The following is a 12,406-nucleotide window of genomic DNA, read 5'->3' on the forward strand; positions in this document are numbered from 1 at the left end:
AGGCATGCATCACCACACCCAGCTAATTTTCTTGGTATTTTTAGTAGAGACGGGTTTTACCATGTTGGCCACGCTGGTCACAAACTCCTGACCTCAGGCGATCCACTCGCCTCGGCCTCCCAAAATGCTGGGATTAGAGGCGTGAGCCACCACACCCGGCCAAGTCTAAATATTTTAAGAGGCATCCTGAGTTCAGAAATGCTAAAATGGGGCAGGGGGTAGGAATAGTAAGGAGAGAAAGTGTGTCTTAGAACTAGGAATTGAGTAGCTTAAATTTTTGTTTAACATGAAATTCTGGAAAAGTTTGTCCTTTAAAAACAAACTTATATTTTCATTGAAGTTTAGTTTTAAGTGTTTTACTGATAATCCTGACTCCAAAGATTGGTTTTAGGGTTAAATGAGATAATGTATGTAAGGCATTTAAAGCAGTTCCCAGCACATAGTGAAGGCTCAATAAATATTCATAGTAAATTGTAATTACTGTTATCTTAATATACTTTCCAGGGAGCAGTAGATTTTTTGAAGTATTCCCAATTGTTAAATGTTACCTTTTACTTGGTAACATTTCTTTTTTTTCTTTCTTTCTTTCTTTTTTTTTTTTTGCAGTAATATCTTCAAATACTTTAGAACAGTGGTCCCCAACCTTTTTGGCATCAGGGACCTGTTTTGTGGAAGACAGTTTTTCCACGGGGGTGGGGAGGAGGGCATGGTTTAGGGATGAAACTGTCCCACTTCGAATCATCAGGCATTAGAGTCACATAAGGAGCTTGCAACCTAGATCCCTCTCATGCACAGTTCACAATTGGGTTTGTGCTCCTGTGAGAATTTAATGCCAGGCGGAGCGCAGTGGCTCACGCTTGTAATCCCAGCACTTTGGGAGGCTGAGGTGGGTGGATCACCTGAGGTCAGGAGTCCGAGACAAGCCTGGCCAACATGGCAAAACCCCGTGTGTACTAAAAATACAAAAATTAGCCAGGCGTGGTGGCGTGAGCCTGTAATCCCAGCTACTTGGGAGGCTGAGGCAGGAGAGTCGCTTGAACCCGGGAGATGGAGGTTACAGTGAGCCAAGATCATGCCACGGCACTCCAGCCTGCGCGACAGAGTGAGATTCCATCTCAAAAAAAAAAAAAAAAAGACTATCTAATGCTGCTGCTGATCTGACAGGAGGCAGAGCTCAGGCGAGAATGCTCACTTGCCTGAGGTTCACCTGCTGTGCAGCCTGGTTCTTAACAGTCCCCAGCCTGCGGGGTGAGCACCTCTGCTTTAGAAGTATTTCTAATTGTAAAAAAGTTACTTTTTAGTTGGTAGCATATTTTTTATTAGCAAGAAGAAGACATAGATTTTAAATTATTAATATGCAAAAAAATGAACTTATTGAATGTCTAATTGAGTGTGGCACTGGCTCAGTGCTAATCAGAGAAAACCTGTCTTACCCACAGATGTGGTCCTGCCTGTTGGCTGTTATAACCCATGGCGGACACTACAGAAATGACCACTAACATTGAGCCACATCATAATGTGCACATATGCCAGAGTTGCTTCTAAGCAATGTACCTTTAATCCTCATTTCATCTTCCCAGCAACCCCGAGTTAGGAACTCGTATCATTTCCTTTTCAGAGACAAAAAAACTGAAGCCCATATACTCAGTTGGCAATGGTAGAGTGGAATTTGAGCTCACCGCCCGACTCCAGAGTGGTGCCCTTAATTACGATGCTGTACAGCCTCTTTCTGATATGAGGCAAACGCTATTGGTTGCCTACCCAACAACCAGTCCCACTGTCTTACTTGCTGGAAAATCCTTGACTTTGTGTGGTTGTTTACCCCTCCCTATGTGTCTGTGTGAAAGCAAATCTGGTCCACATTTCTGTGAGTTCATCCTGGTTCATCTAAGCTGATCATGGTGTTGCATTTCTCCTTGCCAAAGATTGGGTTAGGCAGGGACATTTGACAAGATTCTGGCTGCGGGAATATGAGGAGTAACTCTCTGCAGGCTTCTCAGAAAACTTTCTTCACAGGGAGACATAGACATACAAGGAAGGACACCTCTCTTCCTCCCCTGACCTGATCACATCTAGCAATGTGGCAGCAATCTGGTACCAGCCTGGGGATGACACCAATGCCAAGTAAGGCACAGCCAAGAAAATGACGGAGAAGCGGAGCTCTGACAGTCTATACTTGGAGGTGCCCATCCCTGTGCCTTTCATTCTGTGAGAGGAAAAGACCCATCGTCGCTTAGGCCAGTTTGAATTGGCTTTTCTGTTACTGGTAGCCAAAGGGGTGCTCATTTGGAGCGTCCTTGCAGGCGTGCCTTGGCATGCAAAGGGTGACCGGTATGCTGAGATCTAGCTGCCCTCAGCTGGAGTCCCACGCCCGTTACCTCCACCAGTAAGAGCCTCCTTTAATCAGGGAATATGCAGATATTTTCTCTTTGTATCATGGCATTTAAAAGAGTGGGAAGCATTGTCTTAACTGATCAAAAACATGTAATAGAAATGTTATGTGTCAGTATGCATAGGTAATTAAAATATTTTAAAGAATGAATGTATGTTTCTAAGAAAACGTCTTTTGCCCCTCATCCTTTGGGCTGGATGATTCCCTCCAGACCTCGTTCAAGTATAATTTCCCCTGACGAGCCTTCCCTAACTTAACCAGCCATTACTTGCTCTCTCCTCAGAAGATGTTTAATCTTTCTGTTGGCACTTACTTCACTGTGATCTGATGACTGGTCTTTCAAGTCTGTCTTTGCCAGTGGACTGTAAGCTCTTGAGCGAAAGTAGTTCCTTGTTGAGAATGGCTGTCAGCTCAGAACAAGCTCATCTGTAGTAGCTAAATTAACCTAGATGTGGTAGTCATACTAGATACTGCAACTCCTAGAATACTGCTTCTCAATCCTAGCTGCTTTTTAACCCCTCTCATGATTCCCATCCCTGGAGGTGGTGGTTTATTTGGTATGGGGTACAGCCCAGACATTGGTGCTTTATAGGCCTCCGTGATTCCAGTGTGCAGTCAAGTTGGGAAGAGAGTTGCAGGAAGAGAGTGACATAGCCAGAGGGAAAGACAGCAAAGACCGTTTGACAACTGTGATGACAGTAGATGTCACTGGATCCAGAGAATCCAACAAGAAGCTTGTCACAGTAGCCCTGACGAGAGATGAACCTAGAACAAGGGTGGACCCCGTAGACATGATAATTTGAGCGGCTGCTATGGGAGATGCCTTATGTCAGTGTCATCTTAGGCAGTTATCCTCATCCTGCCTACACCAGAGAAGCCTTTTAAAAATACAAGTACTTGGATCCCACCCCAGAGATTCTGATTAAATTGATCTGGGGTAGCTTCTAGGCAGCAGTACTTTGAAATTTTTTTAAAGCTCCCCAGATGATTTTAATGAGTTGCCAAGGTTGAGAATTACTGCCTTAGAAGAACAGCAGTAGGATTCAACCCTAGTTCAATGTTAGTATCACAGGCTTCCTGACTTGAGATGTTGAGGAGAGGTTTGCATAGACCAGGGTGGGAAGAGCAGTGGCTGGGAGTTGGACATAGGGTAAGGAACAAGGAGAGAAGACAGATACTTCTTCATGGAGTTCAGTTTGAATTGACAGTGGGATCGGATATCATGACAACTTTTGGCTGTGTGTTTACACAAGCCTAACTAATGTAAGCTGGAAGACTGAGAGCAGAGTTTCTCAATGTGGCTCAAAGACCACTGGGGGATCCCCCCACCACCATACCCCAAAGTCAGTTAGGTGATCTGCAGGTGCTTTCGCAGTTTCAGAGGAAAAATCAATGCAGTCATTTTATTCTTACGTATTTTATTAATTAAAAATCGTGTGAATCATTATTGTTGTAGGAATCCTGTTATTAATCATCTTTAAGATTATATATATGCCAAAAAGAGTGTTAATCACTTTGTCTTGGCTAGTATTTGGTCAGCTGAGTGCAGTTCACCTCAGCTGATATATTTTTCCATTATCTGCCATTCTTATTCACAAATTTTCATTGATTATAGGTATTCTACGCCAATTCCAAAAAATAGCTCAATGGCTCAGTGTTGAAGGGCAAAAGCAGAGATAGAATGAATCGAGTAAATATTAGAATTCATAAAAATATTAGAACTATAGTGACTAGGACCACAGTACAGATATAGAAATGTATATGTTGTGGATGAGACAAATGATTCCTTTGAGTAGAATGATTTAACACAAACAGCCAAAAAAGGAAAAAATAATTATTACTATATGAAATTAGATTTTATTGAACAAGGCTGGGCGCAGTGGCTAATGCCCCTAATCCCAGCAGTTTGGGAGGCCGACGTGGGCAGATCACTTGAGGTCAGGAGTTTGAGAGCAGCCTGGTAAACATGGTGAAACCCTATCTCCACTAAAAATACAAAAATTAGCCGGGTGTGGTGGTGTGTGCCTGTAGTCCCAACTACTTGGGAGGCTGAGGCAGAAGAATTACTTGAACCTGGGAAGTGGAGGTTGCAGTGAGTTGAGATTGCGCCACTGCACTCCAGCGTGGGCAACAGAGTGAGACTCCATCTCAAAAAAAAAAAATTATCGAACAAGCAGTCCATTCAGTCTCACCTCACTCACTGTGTACTGTCCTTTTATCAGATGGTGACATGAAGTCATGAAGCTTTTCTATTATTTTTAAACACAAAGATAAACCTATTGTTTCCAGAACATATCCAAAATAGTGGTTTTTCAAAGTGAGATTTGAAAATGTTGAATTTGAGATTCTACAGTGATATCAGAAATTAGGTAAAAATGTCAGAGGCAATATTCAGAGCTCTACTCCACACAGAGAAAACAAGGTACAAGTCGCACTACTATTGGAAAGCTTAGTAAGATTAGCTTTGACGTTAACGATGAGTTTAATGTGCAGAGAAAGCAGAATAGGGTATTCTTCATCAGACAGATATTGTATAATATCCATGGTACACGCATGGAGAAGCAGTTACTCTCATAGGTACATGCTAGCAGAGCTTTTACTTCACACTTGGGCAGAACCAGTGATGGGCAGATTATCAATCACCTCTTAGCACATGCGCAGCACTTATGTGAAAGGGAATTGCCTGATGAGTTTTTGTTCAATGAAAACCCACATCGTAAGAGAAGACTGCTTTGTTTGATTTGGTTAATGATTATATTGTGAGTCATGAAGGAGAATGAAAAAGGTAAGTTGGGTCAGTGGCAACCAGTAAGAAAGGACAAAAAGGACATTGTTACATGACTCAGAAGTTGCATTAGAATATGGTGGACGGCAGTATTTTATTTTCAGAGAGCAGGTGGTGGTCTGTACTGTGCCTGCTGACACTGTAGTTGAAAGGAATTGTGAAAATGTGACAATTTCTTATAAAAATGAAGAAAATGGGCAGCAAGTCATGTACTGGAGGCAAAGGTGCCTCATGAAAGATTTTGGAATGTGGTATGAATTAAAAACATGACACTGAACAGTGTCTCTAAAGGCCATTTCTATTATTTAGGTGGCTTTCTCAAATGATGTGCTATTTTAAGGCTGAACATTAAGATTTTTAATGCTAAGCACAAGAAATCCTGTTATAGGTATGTGAGGGCAGAGACCATCTTCTGGTTTCCAGCTGTATCCCTAGTGCCAAGCAGTGTCACCAGTAGCTACTAAATATTTGCTGAATGAATGGATTTTTATTCCTTAGTCAAAGAACTAATGACATACTATAGGTTATGTTTTAAAACGACATCCAAATGCTAAAACATGCTTGCTAACTGCAACCAAAAGCAGGTTACACATCTATTTGTTGATTTCTCTTCCCCGATGGAACATTTAACCCAGCCTTCTAGCTCTTGAATTTAATATGCCCATCAATTTATGTTTACCATAATAAACATGAAATCACCTCATAATTTGTAGGACTATGTTGGATCGGAACATCCAAATGTATCTGACAGAGGCACCAAACGAGCTCTACATATGAGTTAGGATGTTCTAACTTAGAAGAAACAAAAAGTAAGAAAATGAACTACCTGGAGGACAACTCAAACTGTTTGTCATTATACATGTAACAAGCATGTATAAAATGTCAGATTCTATACATACTCTAAACAGTACTGTAAACAGTATCATCCTGCTCATAGATATGAACCTATTCTTTAAAATAATTTTAGAATTAGCATATTTTATTTTATTTATTTTTGTTTTGAGACAGAATCTCATTCTGTCACCCAGGCTGTCGTGCAATGGTATAATCTCGGCTCACCACAACCTCTGCCTCCCAGATTCAAGCGATTCTCCTACCTCAGCCTCCTGAGTAGCTGGGACTACAGGCGTGTGCCACCACGCCTGGCTAATTTTTGTATTTTTAGTAGAAACGGGGTTTCGCCACATTGGCCAGGCTGGTCTTGAACTCCTGACCTCAGGTTATCTGCCCACCTTGGCTTCCCAAATTGCTGGGATTACAAGTGTGAGCCATCAGGCCTGGCCGTGTTTTAGTTTATTATTTAGAAATTGTGGGCCAGGTGCGGTGGCTCACGCCTGTAATCCCAGCAGTTTGGGAGGCTGAGGCGGGCGGATCACCTGAGGTCGGGAGTTCGAGACCAGCCTGACCAACGTGGAGAAACCCTGTCTCTACTGAAAATACAAGTTAGCCAGACGTGATGGCGCATGCCTGTAGTCCCAGCTACTCGGGAGTCTGAGGCAGGAGAATCGCTTGAACCTGGGAGGTGGAGGTTGTGTGTGGTGAGCCAAGATTGCGCCACTGCACTCCAGCCTGGGCAACAAGAACGAAACTCTGTCTCAAAAAATAAAAAAAAGAAAAAGAAATTGTGGGGCATCTTGTTTTTAATTTGCCTAGAACTGGTGGTTCGCATGTGGGTCAAATGCTCATTAAGCTTGATAAATGATGACCTAGAAATAGAGAAAATATATAAATTATCCTTATGTAACCTACATTATACAAAGTCACAGGTGTCCTCTTCTTAGATTCTGGGGTGAGACTGAAAGAATATATATAACAAAGGACAGGCATGCTCCTATTATCAGATGTCACCATTGAGGAAACATTAGAATAAGAACCCCAGCAATGGGACTTATACGTAGGTTTCTTGCCTGGGGTTGCTCACACCCTATGTTCTATCTACTGAGGCCACAAAGCAGCTTTTCCAGGCATCAGCTCTAGGGTGGAGGCACAGCAGCAGAGAGCTTAATGGCCCTGACCACGAATGGCTGGGAATGTGCCATGTCTGTGCATTTGACTCAGGCCACGTGTTCATAGACCAGCATGCACACGTCCACACCTGCTGAGTGTCTGTACTCAGGTATAGTGTTAGCACAGGTTTTTTTCTTCAGTGTGGCGGGTAAGGACTCAGGTATAAAAGCTAGGTAGTCTCAGTAAAAATAATTGGGCCAAATAGCTATTTACTACCCATGAGATCAAGGAGACGCCAGGGTAAAAGAGGCAGCAGAAGGCCGGGTGCGGTGGCTCACGCCTGTAATCCCAGCACTTTAGGAGGCTGAGGCGGGCGGATCACCAGAGGTTGGTAGTTTGAGACCAGCCTGACCAACATAGAGAAAACCTGTATCTACTAAAAATACAAAATTAGCCAGGCATGGTGGTGCATGCCTGTAATCCCAGCTACTTTGAAGGCTGAGGCAGGAGAATCACTTGAACCCGGGAGGCAGAGGTTGTGGTAAGCCGAGATCGTGCCATTGCACTTCAGCCTGGGCAGCAAGAGTGAAACTCCGTCTTAAAAAAAAAAAAAAAAAAAAAAGCAGGTAGATGATGAGGGGTGGCATTTGTGTAAATGTCGTATTACAAAGAATTGGTAAAAAGCAATTTGGTTGAAGCGACTCATAGGATAGATTCATAGTGCTTAAACATTAATTGGCCTATAAGAAATAAAAGGTAGCTTGTCATTCATTATTTAAGCTGGTAGACACACCTCTAGCATCTGAAATAAACATGGAGAGGCAAAGAGTTCGCTCATGGCCCAACAGACAGTACTAGAAGAGGGTCTAAAAGGCCCAAATTTGGATCACAGCTTGGCCACTTACCAGGTGCTTGTCCTTGGGGACGTGACCTAACCTGTTTTTGCCTCAGTTTTTCGTCTATAAAATGGGGCTGTTGAACTTAAAAGTTCTTTCCTGCTCTGGACATATTATTGTAAGTGAAGTACTTTAAAGTTTTTCTAACTGCTTTCCAAAGCTGCTCTGGGCTCTCTGAAAAAATATCTTTGCTCAGGACATTTTCTTACATGGAAATATCCTCACCCTTCTGTCTCTGTGAAGATTCAGCAACCTGAAGTCAGCTCACCTAGTTTCCTCAACCATCTTTTCTCTATCCCTCTCATCATAGAGTTCGTGTTATGTTCTCTTATAGCAGTTCTTATGATCGTCATTTCTTCAACCATGTTTTAACTGCTGCGAATTCACCTCATGTATGTTCATCTTAAACTGCAGAGCCATATTGACAACAGCTTTGGAAATTTCCGATTTGCTTTGGTAGGATTAATCTCCAACGACTTAATATTCCTTTCCCATCTGGAAACTGGATGGAATAATAGCAAGATGGCTGCTCTGGTAGGAGCGCATTTTCCTTGTCTTCTGGGAGGAGAGATTGAGAGTATGTTAAAATGTTTTTCTTCTCAGTGTATCTCACCTTGTAAATATTATTTGACTTCTTAGGATGTTAAAACAAGCCATTAAAATTTATATTTCTACCTATCTATCTTATAAAATTACAGATTGTCTTCAAGCAGAGTGAGTTAACGGTATTTCAAGCCAAACCCCAGTATATGATGCAGAACAAGGACCCAAAGTGAGGCTGAAAGGTGAACTTGCAAGTACAGGCTTATCATTTCATGGAATGTGATTATTTAGCTATTTTAAAGCAGTTGCTTATCTACTACAGGTTACTTATTGTATGGCAAAAATGAAAACACAGATCTCTGTGGATCCAAAAACATTTTGGAAGCTATGTTAAGACATCATTTACGTTGGTTTTCACGTAAGTGCTGGGCTTTGAAGCATTTTTTATTTTTTTAAGACACAGGATCTCACTGCGTACACTGGCGTACCCTGGTGTGATTATAGCTCACTGCAACCTCCAACTCCTGGGACTAAGCAAGTCTCCCAGCTCAGCCTGTAGCTGAGCTACCACGTCTGGCCTGAAGCATTTCTAGTTCTAGTTTGAAAAAAAAAAAAAACAAAAACACATTTAGAACCCTGGTTAATTGTTACATCGTTTTGTCTTCCGATTTTCCGATTCCTCAATGCTGATTCTTGGCCTAGGGTATGTATAGTGGAAATGGTGCTAAGAATGGAGGTGCTGTGTTTATCTGTGTCTGAAATATCTGGCGCTGTACAGATGGGGGAAGTAGGGAGTAAAACCTTTCCAGATGTAAACCTCTGTGTTTTAGCAAAATAACGTTATGGATTCTATATTAGTTTCCTGTGTCTGCTGTAACAAATTAACACGAACTTGGTGACTTAAAACAATGGAAATGGATTCTGTCACAGTTCTGGAGACCAGAAGGCTGAAATCAGTACGACCAGTAGGCTAAAATCAAGGTGGCAGCAGGGCCACACTCCCTCCTGAGATTCCAGGGGAGAATCTTATTCCTTACCTCTTCCAGCTTCTGGTGGCCACTGATGTTCCTTGGCTTGTGGCCACATCACTCCAGTCTTCAAAGCCAACATCGCCAACATCTTTGCTATGGACTGAATGTTTATGTCCCTCCCAGAGTTGATGTGTTTAAATCCTAACTCACTGATGTGATGGGATTAGGAGGTGGGGCCTTTGGGAGGTGATTAGGTCATGAGGGTGGAGGGTGGAGCCCTCATTAATGCTATAAGTGCTTTATAAAACACACTGAGGCTGGGCTCGGTGGCTTACACCAGTAATCTCAGCACTGTGGGAGGCCAAGGCGGGCAGATCACCTGAGATCAGGAGTTGGAGACCCGCCTGGCCAACATGGTGAAACCCTGTCTGCTGGGTGTGGTAGCGGGTGCCTGTAGTCCCAGCTACTCAGGAGGCTGAGGCAGGAGAATGGTGTGAACCCGGGAGGCGGAGCTTGCAGTGAGCCAAGATTGCAGCACTGTACTCCAGCCTGGGCGACAGAGCGAGACTCCATTTCAAAAAAAAAGAAGACCTGGAAGTGGAGGTTGCAGTGAGCTGACTGTGCCACTGCACTTCAGCCTGGGCGACAGAGTGAGACTCTGTCTCAAAGCAAAAAGACACAAGAGCTTGTTTTCCCTCTCTGTTCTTTACCATGTGAGGATGCAATGAGAAGGCAGTCATCTGCAAACCAGAAAGAGGGTCTTCAATAAGAACCTGACCGTGCTAGCATACTGATCTCACATTTCCAGCCTCCAGAAGTGTGAGAAATAAATTTCTGTTTATAAGCACCCAGTCTGTGGTACTTTGTTCTAGCAGCCTGAACTAAGGTCATCTTCAAATCTCTGTCGGCACTGTCTTCACATCCCCATGTCCTCTGTCTGCCAAATCTCCCTTTGCCTGCCTCTTACAAGGACATGTGTGATTGCATTTAGGGCCCATGCAGATAATCTAGGATAATCTGACTAACTCAAGATCCTTATTAACTTCATTACATCTGCAAAGACCCATGCTTGCTTTTCTTTTTTTCCCATAGAAGGTAACATTCACAGTTCCAGGAATTAGGATATGAATATCTTTTGGGGAGCTGTTTTTCAGCCTTTCACAGACTCTATTTGTTCCATATGAATCAAGTAAGCATCAAGGCTTACTGCCTCTTATATCTTCTCTCAGCCTATTCCATCCTGGTGTGATCTGAGTTAAGGGCATGGGCTTTGGGGTCAGCTAACCTGTGTTGGAATCTCTTCTGTGCTACTTACTTATTCTAGGTCTTGGGCATATTGCTTAAGTTCTTTATGCTTTTGTTTGCTCATCTGTAAATGACAGGCACTATTATACTCAAGTTTTCTGTAAACTAATTGATAAATAAATTCAGCAGACACTTATTTAGGGCGTCCTATGTACTGAACACTAAATTCTTCGGCTACAGTGATGAACAAATAGAGACAGTCCCTGTCTTCAAGGGGCTTATAGTCTGGTTGGGGAGATAGATAGTTATTAAACAAATATTCTCAAAAATGGAGTACGACAAACTGGTCAGTCCTGTGTGGGAGGAATGCAGGGTTAGAGGAAACACTCCTGGCAGGGCCTTGGGGCAGGTGCCTCTGAGGCAGTGATGTAGAAGCTGAAACCTGAAGGGCAGTGGAACGTGAGCCAGGCCAGGAGTAGGAAGAAGGGCATATTATACAGGAGGACAGGCTGTGATTGGAAGCAACTTGGAACTTTGGAGGACCCGAAAGAAGTGTTCATGGAATTTAGTGACCTATGGGAAGATTGGCGTGAAATGAGATTGGCAGCATCATAAGGGCGTCAGACCAAGCAGGGCCTCATATAAATCTGAGCTTCATTCTGAGCGTATTGGGAAGCCCAGCAGGTTTAAGCAGTGGCAAGGGTGGGGACGGGGTGGGCAGGTCGTGACCTGGCTTATGTTTTGACAAGATTGCTCAGGTTTCTGGTTCTAGAATGAAGCGACAGGAGTAGTGGCAGTGGAATGGTGAGATGAGATGATGTGTGGCCGCAATCCAGGCAGGAGATGAAGGTGGCTTAGACCTGGGTGGAGAGGGTGCTGGTGGGGAAAATTGGAGAGTTCCAAGATATGCTCTGGAGAATGCAGGACTTGAGAGTTTTATATGGGGAGATGATGAGGAAGAGGGAGATGTCAAGGGTGACTCCCGAGTTTCTGGCAGAAGCCGCTGGATGGATGGGTGCTCCATTGACTAATGTGGGGAGGACAGGAAGAGGAGCAGATTAGGAGAAAAGATTCTGAGTTCTCTGTACATGTCAGGTTTAAGAAGCCACTTAGCACAGTGCCTGACACAGAGCACACCATAAATAGTAGATTTTAGTAGCTTCTAATTCTGTCCATTTCAAAGTCATAATTGACCGTTGAGTCAGGAGACTTGGGTTCTAGCTCTGGCTAGTCCATGTTAGATAAATAAACCTCTTAGGGCATCAGTGTCCTCATCTACAAATTGGGGGCAGTCAGATTCGGTGCTTTTTGCGGTTTCTTTCAGCTTCAGTGTGCTGACAATGCTATGAGATTCTTTGGTCTTGACCACCTGGAATCCACTGTGGCCAGCTGGATCTGCTTCAGAGGGGCTGATGAACCAGAACTCTGCATATGGATGGCAGTTTCTGGTGGAAGCTGACGTACGGGGAGCTCTGGCCAAGGCAAATTGTGGCTCTCGAGGAGGCTTCATGACGAAGGGGAAGGATGTGGTTTGAGGGCAGCAGCAGCAGCTGCTGTCACCAAACAAGCATGAAATCCACTGAGCTTCAGATGACATTGCAACTGAGGATGGCTGTTTATTAATTGG

The 12,406-nt window shown here is 43.4% G+C and overlaps 1 protein-coding gene across 51 annotated transcripts in view, besides 1 other annotated feature; it reads left to right on the top strand.

Moving 5' to 3' along the window:
* AOPEP (aminopeptidase O (putative)) overlaps nucleotides 1-12,406 on the top strand; it is a 423,526-nt gene that overhangs the window by 122,219 nt on the left and 288,901 nt on the right. The window lies entirely within an intron of this gene.
* Nucleotides 12,271-12,320: an enhancer, noted in NCBI's record as "active region_28636". NCBI's record gives its function as "activates an Ori minimal core promoter by ATAC-STARR-seq in GM12878 lymphoblastoid cells {active_cell/tissue: GM12878}" and the evidence as "EXISTENCE:reporter gene assay evidence [ECO:0000049][PMID:35858748]".

The sequence above is a fragment of the Homo sapiens genome, chromosome 9 (genome assembly GCF_000001405.40).
Source record: "Homo sapiens chromosome 9, GRCh38.p14 Primary Assembly".
NCBI lineage: Eukaryota > Metazoa > Chordata > Mammalia > Primates > Hominidae > Homo > Homo sapiens.